The sequence below is a fragment of the Homo sapiens genome, chromosome X, assembly GCF_000001405.40.
Source record: "Homo sapiens chromosome X, GRCh38.p14 Primary Assembly".
Taxonomy (NCBI): domain Eukaryota; kingdom Metazoa; phylum Chordata; class Mammalia; order Primates; family Hominidae; genus Homo; species Homo sapiens.
This window is the reverse complement of record NC_000023.11, coordinates 155,923,143-155,939,217: the sequence shown is the minus strand read 5'-3', so window position 1 is coordinate 155,939,217 and position 16,075 is coordinate 155,923,143. Positions and strand designations below refer to the sequence as shown.

At 39.1% G+C, this 16,075-nt stretch overlaps 1 protein-coding gene across 7 annotated transcripts in view; it reads right to left on the bottom strand.

The window, feature by feature from the left end:
- The window catches only part of VAMP7 (vesicle associated membrane protein 7), a 62,425-nt gene that overhangs the window by 4,552 nt on the left and 41,798 nt on the right, over positions 1-16,075 (bottom strand). The gene's annotated exons all lie outside the window — the stretch shown is intronic.

Genomic DNA, 16,075 nt, shown 5'->3' with positions numbered 1-16,075 from the left:
TTTGCATCATCAATTTCTCAGTATCTACTGAACAATTCCCACCAGGACACAAGGAGTTTAAAACAAAATGGCAAACAACCAACCAACAAAACTCCCTAATAATCCAGCAATCCACTCTGGTATGGTCCCACAGATGTATGCAAATTCACCAAAAGACATATAAAAAAATGTTTTGGACAGCACTACTTTTCATACCTTAAACTGGAAACCACCCAAATGCCCATCAACTGTGCAATGCATAAATTACAGGAGAGTCATAACATGGAATACAATACAGTAATGACAATTCACAATCTACTACTACATTTATACAATTTACCACAGATGAATCTCACAAACATCATTTTGAGCAATAGAAACTTGACATAAACAGAATACCTGCTATATTTTATTATTTATCTTGAGACAGGGTCTTGCTCTGTCGCCCAAGCTGGAGTGCAGTGGCACAATTACGACTCACTGCAGCTTTGACCTCCTGGGCTCAAACGATCCTCCCACCTCAGCCTCCTGAGTAGCTGGGACTATAGGTGTGTGCCACCACTCTCGGCCCCTGCTATGTTTTATTAATCTATGTGGAGAAATCAGGACAGTGGCCACCTTTGGAGAAGAGTAGTGACTAAAAGAAGGGAGAAGGGAGCTTCTGGGGTACTGTTCGTGCTCTAGTTCTTAATCTGGGTGTTGGTTCTACATGGTATGTTTACTTTGTGAAAACACAACAAGTTGTATGCTTACAGTTGATGCACTTTATGTATATTATACTTCACATATTGGTTTTAAAAAATCCACTCCCTTAACCATAGATTCATCTCCAACCACATACTCCACAAAGTCTCTGCAGTAGAACAACTGACAGGGGCACCAGTCTTTGGGTTTCACTTCATGAAGACTGCACAGGATGCCACCTGGAGGCACATACCAAAACTGATTACATCTAGAGCTAAATATATATGTTGAATAGAATATATGCATTGACTAGAACTTTTGAGAAGAAACAGCAGTTAAAGTGAGGAGACAAAAAAAGCAATGGGGACAAACAGTCCTTAATGGAACAAAGTTAATATGGGAAACAAGATAGAATAACAGTAATAAAAAAATTTCTAATAAGTATCCTCAGATACAAGACATAATTGAACTAATTTTAAACAAAGTCATCAGAGGACATAAAAAATTAGATAACATGACAACATTCCAAAAACTATATTTTAATAAAATGGCATAATTTTTTAAAAGCAGAACATAAATGAGCAAAAGCAGCTTCTGCAGTAACAATTCAAAAAATTTGTTCTGAAAACAGCAAAATGTCTAGGTTGTAAATCATGAAAGAAGATGTAAGATACACGGAAAACTGATCAAGCAAATCCAGGATCAATTTATACGATCAACAGATATTTAACATGTGCTTATTATGTGCCTGGTACTGATTTACACACCTATTAGCAGTCACAGGAGAGAATACAGCCAAAAGAGAAGGATCAATAATCAAGGGACTAATTGAAGAAAATATCCCCCAAATAAGACAGACTTGAATCTTCAGACTAAAAGGACCTACCCACCATGTGGCAAGAATATTGAAAAAAGGAAAATGTTACACTTTTAGTAACATTTCAGACCTCCAAGCTTTTGTTTCTACTCTAATTTTATTTTTTTCTGCCTTGAAGTATAATTGGCAAATAAAAATGGTATATATTCAAGGTATACAATGTGATATTCTGATAAATGTACACATTGTGAAATTATTACCACAATCAAGCTAAGTAAAATATCCATCACCTCACATAGTTACTTTTTTGGGTATGTGGTGAGAATGCTTAAGATCTATTCTTATAGCATATTTCAAATATTCAATACATTATTATTAACTATAGTTGCCATGCTGTATGTCCGGTATCCAGAACTTATTCATCTTACAACTGTAAGTTCATACACTTTGACCAACATCTCTCCAGGTCTCCCACCCACTGTCAACCACTGTTTTACTCTCTGCTTTTATGAACTGAACATTTTTTTTAGATTCCATATATAAGTGAAATCATACAGTATTTATCTATCTGTGTCTAGTATATTTCACTTAATATAATGTCTTCTAGTTTCATCCACATTTTAGAATTTTTTTTTCTATTCTGTGAAAAATGCCATTGGAATTTCAATAGGGATTGTGTTGAATCTGTGTATTGCTTCAGGCAGTATGAACATTTTAATAATATTGATTCTTCCAATCCATAAACATAAGGTATCTTTCCATTGATTTGTGTCTTCTTGAATTTCTTTCATCAATGTTTTATAATTTTCAGTGTGCACATTATTACATCCTTGGTTAAATTTATTCCTAACTATTGTACTCTTTTTGATGCTATCATAAATGGGATTTTTAAAAAATTTCCTTTGATTCCTGTTCCAAGATGGCCAAATAGGAACAGCTCCAGTCTACAGCCCCCAGCGTGAGCAACGCACAAGACGGATGATTTCTGCATTTCCAACTGAGATACCGGCTTCATCTCACTGGGGCTTGTTGGACAGTGGGTGCAGCCCACCGAGCGTGAGCCGAAGCAGGGCGAGACATCGCCTCACCCGGGAAGCACAAGGGGTCAGGGAATTCCCTTTCCTAGCCAAGGGAAGCTGTGACAGATGGCACCTGGAAAATCGGATCACTCCCACCCTAATACTGCGCTTTTCCAACGGTCTTAGCAAACAGCACACCAGGAGATTATATCCCGCGCCTGGCTCAGAGGGTCCCACACCCACGGAGCCTCACTCATTGCTAGCACAGCAGTCTGAGATTGAACTGCAAGGTGGCAGCGAGGCTGGAGGAGAGGCGCCCGCCATTGCTGAGGCTTGAGTAGGTAAACAAAGCTGCCGGGAAGCTCGAACTGGGTGGAGCCCACCACAGCTCAAGGAGGCCTGCCTGCCTCTGTAGACTCCACCTCTGGGGGCAGGGCATAGCTGAACAAAAGGCAGCAGAAACCTCTGCAAACTTAAATGTCCCTGTCTGACAGCTTTGAAGAGAGTAGTGGTTCTCCCAGGACAGAGTTTGAGATCTGAGAACAGACAGACTGCCTCCTCAAGTGGGTCCCTGACCCCCAAGCAGCCTAACTGGGAGGTACCCCCCAGTAGAGGCAGACTGACACCTCACACGGCGGGTACCCCTCTGAGACAAAACCTCCAGAGGAACGATCAGAGAGCAACATTTGGTGTTCAGCAATATTCACTGTTCTGCAGCCTCCGCTGCTGATACCCAGGCAAACAGGGTCTGGAGTGGCCCTCCGACAAACTCCAACAGACCTGCAGCTGAGGGTCCTGACTGTTAGAAGGAAAACTAACAAACAGAAAGGACATCCACACAAAAACCCCATCTGTATGTCACCATCATCAAAGACCAAAGGTAGATAAAACCACAAAGATAGGGAAAAAAACAGCAGAAAAACTGAAAATTCTAAAAATCAGAGCGCCTCTCCTCCTCCAAAGGAACGCAGCTCCTCACCAGCAACAGAACAAAGGTAGACAGAGAATGACTTTGACGAGTTGAGAAAAGAAGGCTTCAGATGATCAAACTTCTCTGAGCTAAAGGAGGAAGTTTGAACCCAGCACAAAGAAGCTAAAAACCTTGAAAAAAAGATTAGATGAATGGCTAACTAGAATAACCAATGTAGACAAGTCCTTAAATGACCTGATGGAGCTGAAAACCATGGCACGAGAACTAAGTGACGAATGCACAAACTTCAGTAGCCGATTCGAACAACTGGAAGAAAGGGTATCCGTGATTGAAGACCAAATGAATGAAATGAAGCGAGAAGAGAAGTTTAGAGAAAAAAGAATAAAAAGAAACGAAAAAAGCCTCCAAGAAATATGGGACTATGTGAAAAGACCAAATCTACGTCTGATTGGTGTACCTGAAAGTGATGGGGAGAATGGAACCAAGTTGGAAAACACTCTGCAGGATATTAGCCAGGAGAACTTCCCCAACCTAGCAAGGCAGGCCAACATTCAAATTCAGGAAATACAGAGAACGCCACAAAGATACTCCTCGAGAAGAGCAACTCCGAGACACATAATTGTCAGATCACCAAAGTTGAAATGAAGGAAAAAATGTTAAGGGCAGCCAGAGAGAAAGGTCGGGTTACCCACAAAGGGAAGCCCATCAGACTAACAGCTGATCTCTCGGCAGAAACTCTACAAGCCAGAAGAGAGTGGGGGCCAATATCCAAAATTCTTAAAGAAAAGAATTTTCAACCCAGAATTTCATATCCAGCCAAACTAAGCTTCATAGGTGAAGGAAAAATAAAATCCTTTACAGACAAGCAAATGCTGAGAGATTTTGTCACCACCAGGCCTGCCTTACAAGAGCTCCTGAAGGAAGCACTAAACATGGAAAGGAACAACACATACCAGCCACTGGAAAAACATGCCAAATTGTAAAGACCATCAAGGCTAGGAAGAAACTGCATCAACTAACGAGCAAAATAACCAGCTAGCATCATAATGACAGGATCAAATTCACACATAACAGTATCAACCTTAAATGTAAATGGGCTAAATGCTCCAATTAAAAGACACAGACTGGCAAATTAGATAAAGAGTAAAGACCCATCAGTGTGCTGTATTCAGGAAATCCATCTCATGTGCAGAGACACACATAGGCTCAAAATAAAGGGATGCAGGAAGATCTACCAAGCAAATGGAAAACAAAAAAAGGCAGGGGTTGCAATCCTAGTCTCTGATAAAACAGACTTTAAACTAGCAAGGATCAAAAGAGACAAAGAAGGCCATTACATAATGGTAAAGGGATCAATTCAACAAGAAGAGCTAACTATCCTAAATATTTATGCACCCAATACAGGAGGACCCAGATTCATAAAGCAAGTCCTTAGAGACCTACAAAGAGACTTAGACTCCCATACAATAATAAAGGGAGACTTTAACACCCCACTGTCAACATTAGACAGATCAATGAGACAGAAAGTTAACAAGGATATCCAGGAATTGAACTCAGCTCTGCACCAAGCGGACCTAACAGACATCTACAGAACTCTCCACCCCAAATCAACAGAATATACATTCTTCTCAGCACCACATCGCACTTATTCCAAAATTGACCACATAGTTGGAAGTAAAGCACTCCTCAGCAAATGTAAAAGAACAGAAATTATAACAAACTGTCTCTCAGACCACAGTGAAATCAAATTAGAACTCAAGATTAAGAAACTCACTCAAAACTGCTCAGCTACATGGAGACTGAACAACCTGCTCCTGAATGACTACTGGGTACATAACGAAATGAATGCAGAAATAAACATGTTCTTTGAAACCAATGAGAACAAAGACACAACATACCAGAATCTCTGGGACACATTTAAAGCAGTGTGTAGAGGGAAATTTATAGCACTAAATGCCCACAAAAGGAAGCAGGAAAGATATAAAATTGACACCCTAACATCACAATTAAAAGAACTAGAGGAACAAGAGCAAACACATTCAAAAGCTAGCAGAAGGCAAGAAATAACTCAGAGCAGAACTGAACGAGATAGAGACACAAAAAACCCTTCAAGAAATCAATGAATCCAGGAGCTGGTTTTTTGAAAAGATCAACAAAATTGATAGACTGCTAGCAAGACTAATAAAGAAGAAAAGAGAGAAGAATCAAATAGACGCAATAAAAAATGATAAAAGGGGATATCACCACCGATCCCACAGAAATACAAACTACCATCAGAGAATACTACAAACACCTCTACACAAATAAACTAGAAAATCTAGAAGAAATGGATAAATTCCTTGACACATACACCCTCCCAAGACTAAACCAGGAAGAAGTTGAATCTCTGAATAGACCAATAACAGGCTCTGAAATTGAGGCAATAATTAATAGCTTACCAACCAAAAAAAGTCCAGGACCAGATGGATTCACAGCCGAATTCTACCAGAGGTACAAGGAGGAGCTGACACCATTCCTTCTGAAACTATTCCTATCAATAGAAAATGAGGGAATCCTCCCTAACTCATTTTATGAGGCCAGCATCATCCTGATACCTAAGCCTGGCAGAGACACAACACAAAAAGAGAATTTTAGACCAATATCCCTAATGAACACCGACGCAAAAATCTTCAATAAAATACTGGCAAATCGAATCCAGCAGCACATCAAAAAGCTTATCTACCATGATCAAGTGGGCTTCATCCCTGGGATGCAAGGCTGGTTCAACATATACAAATCAATAAATGTAATCCAGCATATAAACAGAACCAAAGACAAAAAACACACGATCATCTCAATAGATGCAGAAAAGGCCTTTGACAAAATTCAACAGCCCTTCATGCTAAAAACTCTCAATAAATTAGGTATTGATGGGACGTATTTCAAAATAATAAGAGCTATGACAAACCCACAGCCAATATCATACTGAATGGGCAAAAACCGGAAGCATTCCCTTTGAAAACTGGCACAAGATAGGGATGCCCTCTCTCACCACTCCTATTCAACATAGTGTTGGAAGTTCTGGCCAGGGCAATCAGGCAAGAGAAAGACATAAAGGGTATTCAATTATGAAAAGAGGAAATCAAATTGTCCCTGTTTGCAGATGACATGATTGTATATCTAGAAAACCCCATTATCTCAGCCCAAAATCTCCTTAAGCTGATAAGCAACTCCAGCAAAGTCTTGATACGAAATCAACGTGCAAAAATCACAAGCATTCTTATACACCAATAACAGACAAACAGAGAGCCAAATCATGAGTGAACTCCCATTCACAATTGCTTCAAAGAGAATAAAATACCTAGGAATCCAACTTACAAGGGATGTGAAGGACCTCTTCAAGGAGAACTACAAACTACTGTTCAGCGAAATAAAAGAGGACACAAACAAATGGAAGAACATTCCATGCTCATGGATAGGAAGAATCAATATCATGAAAATGGCCATACTGCCCAAGGTAATTTATAGATTCAATGCCATCCCTATCAAGCTACCAATGACTTTCTTCACTGAATTGGAAAAAACTACTTTAAAGTTCATGTGGAGCCAAAAAAGAGCCTGCATTGCCAAGTCAATCCTAAGCCAAAAGAACAAAACTGTAGGCATCATGCTACCTGACTTCAAACTATACTGCAAGGCTACAGTAACCAAAACAGCATGGTACTGGTACCAAAACAGAGATATAGACCAATGGAACAGAACAGAGCCCTCAGAAGTAATACCACACATCTACAACCATGTCATCTTTGACAAACCTGACAAAAAGAAGAAATGGGGAAAGGATTCCCTATTTAACAAATGGTGCTGGGAAAACTGGCTAGCCATATGGAGAAAGCTGAAACTGGATCCCTTCCTTACACCTTATACTAAAATTAATTCAAGATGGATTAAAGACTTAAATGTTAGACCTAAAACCATAAAAACCCTAGAAGAAAACCTAGGTAATACCATTGAGGACATAGGCATGGGCATGGACTTCATATCTAAAACACCAAAAACAATGGAAACAAAAGCCAAAATTGACAAATGGGATCTAATTAAGGAGCTTCTGCACAGCAAAAGAAACTACCATCAGAGTGAACAGGCAACCTACAGAGTGGGAGAAAAGTTTTGCAATCTACTCATCTGACAAAGGGCTAATATCCAGATTCTACAAAGAACTCAAACAAATTTATAAGAAAAGAAACAAACAACCCCATCAACAAGTGGGTGAAGGATATGAACAGACACTTCTCAAAAGATGGCATTTATGCAGCCAACAGACACATGAAAAAATGCTCATCATCACTGGCCATCAGAGAAATGCAAATCAAAACCACAATGAGATACCATCTCACACCAGTTAGAATGGCGATCATTAAAAAGTCAGGAAACAACAGGTGCTGGAGAGGATGTGGAGAAACAGGAACACTTTTACACTGTTGGTGGGACTGTAAACTAGTTCAACCACTGTGAAAGACAGTGTGGCGATTCCTCAGGGATCTAGAAGTAGAAATACCATTTGACCCAGCCATCCCATTACTGGGTATATACCCAAAGGATTATAAATCATGCTGCTATCAAGACACATGCACACGTATGTTTATCGTGGCACTATTCACAATAGCAAAGACCTGGAACCAACCCAAATGTCCAACAATGATAGACTGGATTCAGAAAATGTGGCACGTATACACTATGAAATACTACGCAGCCGTAAAAAAGGATGAGTTCATGTCCTTTGCAGGGACATGGATGAAGCTGGAAACCATCATTCTCAGCAAACTACTGCAAGGACAAAAAACCAAACACCACATGTTCTCACTCATAGGTGGGAACTGAACAATGAGAACACCTGGACACAGGAAGGGGAACATCACACACCGGGGCCTGTTGTGGGGTGGTGGGAGGGGGAAGGGATAGCATTTGGAGATATACCTAATGTAAATGATGAGTTAATGGGTGCAGCACACCAACACGGCACATGTTTACATATGTAACAAACCTGCACGTTGTGCACATGTACCCTAGAACTTAAAGTATAATAAAAAATATATATATTTATAAAAAAAATAAAAAATAAAAAAGAATTAAAAGAAAAAAAATTTTTTTTTTTTTGAGATGGAGGTCACCCCTCTGTAACCCAGCCTGGAATGCAGTGGTGTGATCATAGCTCTCTGCAGCTCTGAATTCCTGGGTTCAAGCAATTCTCCATCTTCAGCCCCCCAAGTAGCTAGGACTACAGGTGCACCCAATCACACCTATTTTTTTTTTTTTTTTGTTTGGTTTTGTAGAGATAAGGTCTCACTTTGTTGCCTAGGCTGGTCTTGAACTTCTGGATTTTAGAGATCTTTCAGCTTTGGCCTCCCAAAGTATAAGTATTAGGATTATAGGTATGAGCTACCATGCACAGCCTTGATTTATTTTTCTAATAGACTGTAATCTAGATAGTAACAATGTGATTTAGGGTGGGGAAAAGACACTCCAGAAAAAATGACTATGTGATTTAGGAGGCTTTGGATCACACCAAGTGGAGCTGGAGACTGAGATCAAGCCAGAGGGCAGTCAGTCAATAATGCCTACATAATGAAACCCCAATAAAAACTCTGAACACTAAGGCTTGGGTAAGCTTTCCTGTTAGGCAATGCTCTGCACATTTTGTCACACACTGATGCCAAGAGAGCAACGTGTCCTGACTCCATGGGAAGAGGACAACAAAAGCTCTACATTTGGTATCTTCCCAAACTCCACCCTATGTACTTTTTCCCTTGGCTGGTCTTACTATGTATAATTTGCCTGTAATAAACCATAACTGTGAGTATAATAGTGCTCACAGAGTATTATAAATCCTTCTAATGAACTATCAAATCTGAGGGTGGTTTGGGGAATCCCCAAACTTGCAGTTGGTGCCATTAAGTGAGGGTGGACTTGAGTAAACTGTATAGTTGTTCATGCCATGGCTCCAGCGTGAGTGGATGGCTTGACTGAGATCCTGTTGCTCTGCTCCTCTGTGTTGCCAATCAATTTGGCCTTGAGACCTCACTAAGTTCTTTAAGCCATGGTACCTTTTTTACGTCTTTCCATCCAACACGGGACAAGAATATCTGGGAATAAGCCTCCCCAGTGACATGGGATAAACTTATATCTAAAATGCTGATCATCAATGCTTTCAGAAGAGAAAAATTTTGATCAAAAGGGGGAAATGAGAAAAGAAAAACAGCTCAGAGCAGCCTGAGCTATGTGAGGTATATAAAATTTATCAGGCCCAGAAGACATGAGTATGGGGACTTCAGTCACACCCCCCACACAATGCCCAGGGGGGGCAACTGTTTAAAGGCAATTTGTTGCTGACTAGCTGCCTCAACCATTATCTTCATGTTCCTGGAATTTGTGATACAAAGGACAATGTATAGCAATCAATAGCTTATGCTATTTTAATGTAAATTCTTGGTAAACAAATTAGATACTGCCTCTCCTTTTTTCCTTTAAAAACCTACTTGTAACTGCTGCTAATTAGAACATATATTCAGAGCAACTTGAATCTATGCTCCTGGGTTGCAGTCCTCAAACTTGGCCCAAATAAAAAACGTGTAAACTGTATAGTTGTTGAACTTCTCAGATGCCTAAATTCTTCATGCACTGAAATGCAGCAATATTCAGAGAATTTTGAGAGAAAATGATCTTAACCCTAGAATTCTACACCAGTCAAAAAATTGTTCAAATATGAGACCAAAATAACACTTTTATTCTTGAAGGGATTATCATCCACAAACTCATATGAAGAAAATGTGTGAGGATATACTACAAACAAAGACTAATTCACAATAAATAATTCAAGAAAGAGAAAGATGATGTAGATGAGAAAAAGCAGTGAGGAATGAAACTAATAAATCCGAACATAGCTGTGTGATTCAACAGGTTGTAATGGAGATTCCTCCACCACTCTCAGGTCAACATCTGAACACTGACAAACCATCTGTTTAAAACAAGTTCACCTATAAAGAACAATTGTTAAATGTTGCCCTAAGACATGCCTGTGTCCTAATCCCTATGAATGTGACATATGTGATATTATCTGGAAAAGGGGTCTTTACAGATGTGATTATGTCAAGAATCTTGAGATGAAGAGAGTATCCTGGATTATCCATGTGAGCCCTAAATGACATCACAAATGTCTCTATAGGAGGAAAGTAGATGGAGGCTTGACACACATGCAAAGGAGAAGGTAATGTGAACATGGAGGCAGAGACTACAATGATATAGCCACAAGCCAAGAAATACTGGCAGCCACCTGAAGCTGGAAGAGGCATGGAACAGATCCTCTCCTAGAGCCTCTGGAAGGAGTGTAGCCTTGCTAACACCTTAATTTCAGCCCAGTTAAACTGATTTTGAACTTCTGAAATCCAGTAGTGGGAGAAAATAAATTTTTGTTGTTTTAAGCCACCAAGTTTGTGATAATTTGTGATAGCAGCCACAGAAAGCTAATAACCATATATAAAAAGTTGAAAACCAAATATAAAAAGACACTCTTAAAACCAGCCAAAGGGGGCCAGGTGTGGTGGCTCATGCCTGTATTTCCAGCACTTTGGGAAGCCAAGGTGGGAGGATCACTTGAGCCTGGGCATTTGAGACCAGCCAGAGCAACATAGGGAGACCCGTCTCTAAGAAAAATTTAAAAAATTAGCTAAGTGTGATGGCGCATGCCTGTGGTCCTCCTACTTGGGAGGCTGAGGCAAGGCAGGAGGATCACTTGAGCCTGGGAGGTGGAGGCAACAGTAAGCTGTGATCGTGCCACTGCACTCCAGCCTGGGTGAGAGAGAGAGACTCTGTCTTAAAAAAACAAAACAAACAACAACAACAACAACAACAAAAGCCAAAGGTGGGGTAAGAATCATTATTTTTCAAGTAAGACTAAGAGAAATGACAATCTCTTTGAGAACATATGAAAGCCAAAGAAAAATGGAATGGCATTTTTAAAGCACTCACTTTAAAAAAAAAAAAAAACTGCCATTGTGAAAAACTAAAAAACTCTATGCAAAGAAAGTATTCTTTAAAAAAATGATGAAACAGATTTTCAGACAAAAGCTTAGAGAATCTCTCATCAGTAGATCAACATTATAAGAAACAATAAAAGAACTTCTTCAGTTTGAAGCAAACAAAATCGTACACTGAAACAGAACTGCAGGAAAACAATAAAGGACACAGAAAGAATTACAGGCATATCCCCTTTTATTGTACTTCACATTATCGCACTTCATGGATTTTTTTTTTTTTTTTTTTTTTTTTTTGGCAAATCGAAGGTCTGTGGAAACCCCATGATGAGACTATCAGCACCATTTTTCTGGTTTGTTTTTTTTTTTTCCTGCTTGGCCTGCACTTTTTGTTTCTTTTTATTATTATTATTATACTTTAAGTTCTAGGATACATGTGCAGAACGTGCAGGTTTCTTACACAGGTATACACGTGACATGGTGGTTTGCTGTACCCATCAACCCGTTATCTACATTAGGTATTTCTCCTAATGCTATCCCTCCCCTAGCCCCCACTCCCCGACAGGCCCCAGTGTGTGATGTTCCCCTCACTGTGTCCATGTGTTCTCATTGTTCAACTCCCACTTAGGAGTGAGAACATGCGGCAGCACCATTTTTCTAACAGCATGTGGTCGCCTCATGTCTGTGTTTTGGTAATTCTTATAACATTTCAAACTTTTCATTATTTTCATTCTATCTGTTATGACGATCTGTGACCTCTGATGTTACTATTGTGATTGTTTTCGGGTGCCATAAACTGTGCCTATATAAGGTGACGGAGCTAACGGATAAATGTTGTGTGTTCTAACTGTTCACTGACCAGCTATTCTCTTATCTCTCTCCCTCTCAGGCCTCCCTATTTGCCGAGACACAATATTGAAATTTGGCCAATTAATAACCTTACAATGGCATCTATGTATTCAAGTGAAAGGAAAAGTCACACATCCCTTGCTTTAAATCAAAAGATAAAAATAATTAAGCTTAGTGAGTAAGGCATGTCGAAAGCTGAGATGGGCCTAAAGCTAGGTGTCCTGTGACAAACAGTTAACCAAATTGTGAATGCAAAGAACAGTTCTTGAAGGAAATCAGGAGTGCTACTCCAGTGAACACACATATAAGAAAGCAAAACAGACTTACTGCTGATATGGAGAATGTTTTAGGGGTCTGGATAGAAGATTAAACCAGCTATAACATTTCCTTAGGCCAAAGCCTAATACAGAGCAAGGCCCTAACTCTTCAACTCTATGAAGGCTGAGAGAGGCGAGGAAGGTGCAGAAGAAAAGTTTAAAGCTAGCAGAAGTTGGTTCATGAGGTTTAAGGAAAGAAGCCATCTCTATAACATAAAAGTACAAGGTGAAGCAGCAAGTGCTGAGAGAGAAGCCACAGTAAGTTATCCAGGAGACCTAGCTAAGATCATTGATAAAGGTGGCTATACTAAACAACAGATTTTTCAATGTAAACAAAACACCCTTCTTTTGGAAGAAGATGCCATCTAGGACTTTCATAGAGAGAAGCCAATGACTGGCTTCAAAGCTTCAAAGGATAAGCTGACTTTTATTAGGGACCAATGCAGCTGATGACTTTAAGCTGAAGCCAATGGTAATTTACCATTCTGAAAATCTAGGGCCCGTAAGAATTATGCTAAATATACTCTGCCTGTGCTCTTGAAATGGAACAACAAACCTGGAAGATAGCACATCTGTTTACAGGATGGTGTACAGAAGATCTGTGGAGATCTGCTGCTCAAAAAGAAAAGATTCCTTTCAAAGTATTACTGCTCATTGACAATGAACCTAGTCACTCAAGAGCTCTGATGGAGACTTACGAGGAGATAAATGTCGTTTTCATGCCTGTGTGAAAGGAAAATAAATCTTGGGGCCTCCAAATCACTAAGCTAAAGGGAAAAGTCAAGCTGGGAACTGCTTATGGCCAACCTGCCTCCCATTCTATTCAAAGTCACCCCTCTGCTCACTGAGATAAATGCGTATCTGATTGCCTCCTTTGGAGAGGCTCATCAGAAACTCAAAAGAATAGAACCATTTGTCTCTTATCTATCTAAGACCTGGAGGCCCCCTCCCCACTTCGAGCCTTCCCGCCTTTGCTTCGAGTTGTTCCGCCTTTCCAGGCCAAACCAATGTTCATCTTGCATATGTTGACTGATGTCTCACGTCTCCCTAGAATGTATAAAACCAAACTGGGCTTTGACCACCTTGGGCACATGTTGTCAGGACCTCCTGAGGCTGTGTCACGGGTGTGCGCTCTCAACTTTGGCAAAATAAACTTTCTAAATCAACTGAGACCTGTCTCAGACTTTTGGGGTTCACACCTGCTAATACAACATCCATTCTGCTGCCCATGAATCAAGGAGTGATTTCAACTTTCAAGTCTTATTATTTAAGAAAAACATTTAGTATAGCTGCCATAGATAATGATTCCTCTGATGGATCTGGGCAAAGTAAACTGAAGACCTTCTAGAAAGGATTCACCATTCTAGATGCCATTAAGAACATTCATGATTCGTGGGAGGAAGTCAAAATATAAACATTAACAGGTGTTTGGAAGAAACTGATTACAACCCTCACAAATTACTTTGAGGGGTTCAAGACTTCAGTGGAGTGAGTAACTGCAGATGTGGTAGAAATAGAAGAGAACTAGAATTAGAACTGGAGCCTGAAGACATGACTGAACTGCTGCAGTTTCTTGATAAAACTTTAATGAATGAGGAGTTGTTTCTTATGCATGGGCAAGGAAAGTGGTTTCTTGAGATGGCAACTATTCCTGGTGAAGATGCTGTGAACACTGTTGAAATGACAACAAAAGATTTAGAAAATTACATCAACTCAGCTGATAAAGCAGTAGCAGGGTTTGAGAGGATTGACTCCAATTTTGAAAGAAGTTCTATTGCCAGTAAATTGCTATCAAATAGCAACACATGCTACAGAGAAATCTTTTGTGAAAGAGTCAATCAATGTGGTAAACTTCACTGTTGTCTTATTTTAAGAAATTGCCACAGCCACCACAACCTTCAGCAACCACCAGCCTGATCGATCAGTCAGTAGCCATCAACATCAAGGTGAGACCCTCCACCAGCAAAAAGATTAAGGCTCACTGAAGGCTCAGGTGATTGTTAGCATTTTTTTTTAAGCAATAAACTATTATGCTTAGTGAAATAAGCCAGACACAAAAGGGCAAATTTTGTATGATCCCACTTATATGACATATCTAGAACAGGCAAATTCAGAGACAGAAAGTAGATTAGAGTTACCAGGGGCTGAGAGTAAGGGGAATGGGGAGTTATTATTACTTAATGGTTACAGAGTTTTTGTTAAGGGGTGATAAAAAAGTTTTGGAAATAGCTAGTAGTGATGGATGCACAACATTGTGGATGTAATTAACATCACTGAATTGTGCACTTTAAAAAGGTTAAAATGGCAAAATTTTATGCTATACATATTTTACCACAATTTTAATAATGTAATATACTAAATTCCACTGAAGTGTACCCTTTAAATGGGCAATTTGTATGGTCTGTGAGTTATCTCTCAATAGAAGTGTTAAAAAACAAATAGAGATGGTTAAAAAACAATTTAAAAAGTACTTGAGTAATCAAAATAAAAAAGAAGAGGACAGGGATGCGGCAAATAAAAAACAAAGAGCAAGATACCTACACCTAACTCTATCAAAATTTGCATTACATGTAAGTGGAATAAGCACTTCAATTATAAATATACTTCATATACTCAAGGTAGAGGAAAGTATGCACATGTTAAGGAGACACATGGAAGATATAAAAAAGATCCAAAACAAACCTGTAAAGATGAAACATACACAGGACAGAAACAGCAGATTGCGAACTGCAGAAGAAAAGGTAAGTAAACTTGAAGACATAGCAATAGAAACTATTCTAAATGAAACATAGTGGAAAAAAGACTTAAAAATGAACAAAGCATCAGTGAGTTGTGGGACAGCTTCAAGTGGCTTAATACAGATGTCACTGGAAGCCTAGAAAGAGCTAAACATTTTCATAATTTGATGAAAACTACAACAAACTCAAAGCCAAAGAAACATAAAGAAATATATACCAAGGCATATATATTATAATCAAATTTCTTAAAACCAATGATAAAGAGAAAATCTTTAAAGCATCCAGAAGAAAAAAAAATACACTTTATGTATGTAAGAATGACAGCAGAATTCTTGTCAGAAACAATGTAAAAGACAGTGATGAACCACCGTTCATCAAGTATTAAAAGAAAGAAAAATCACTGACCTAGAATTCTATACTCAGTGAAAATGTCTTTCAAAAAAAAAAAGGAAGTGAAATAAAAACTTCTCAGACATACCAAACCTGAAAGAATTCATTTCCAGTAGACCTACACACTTGAACTACAATGGAAGATTATATGTTAAATTAAAGCATACAGGCAGAAAGAAAATAACATCAGATAGAAACTCGGCCTACACAAAAGAATTAAGAGCACTGAAATGGTAGCTGCATGGGTAAACAGAAAAGACTTCCCTTATTATTTAAATCTCTTTAAAAGATAATCAACTCTTTAAACAAAAACAACAACAATGTATTATGAAGTTTTTAATA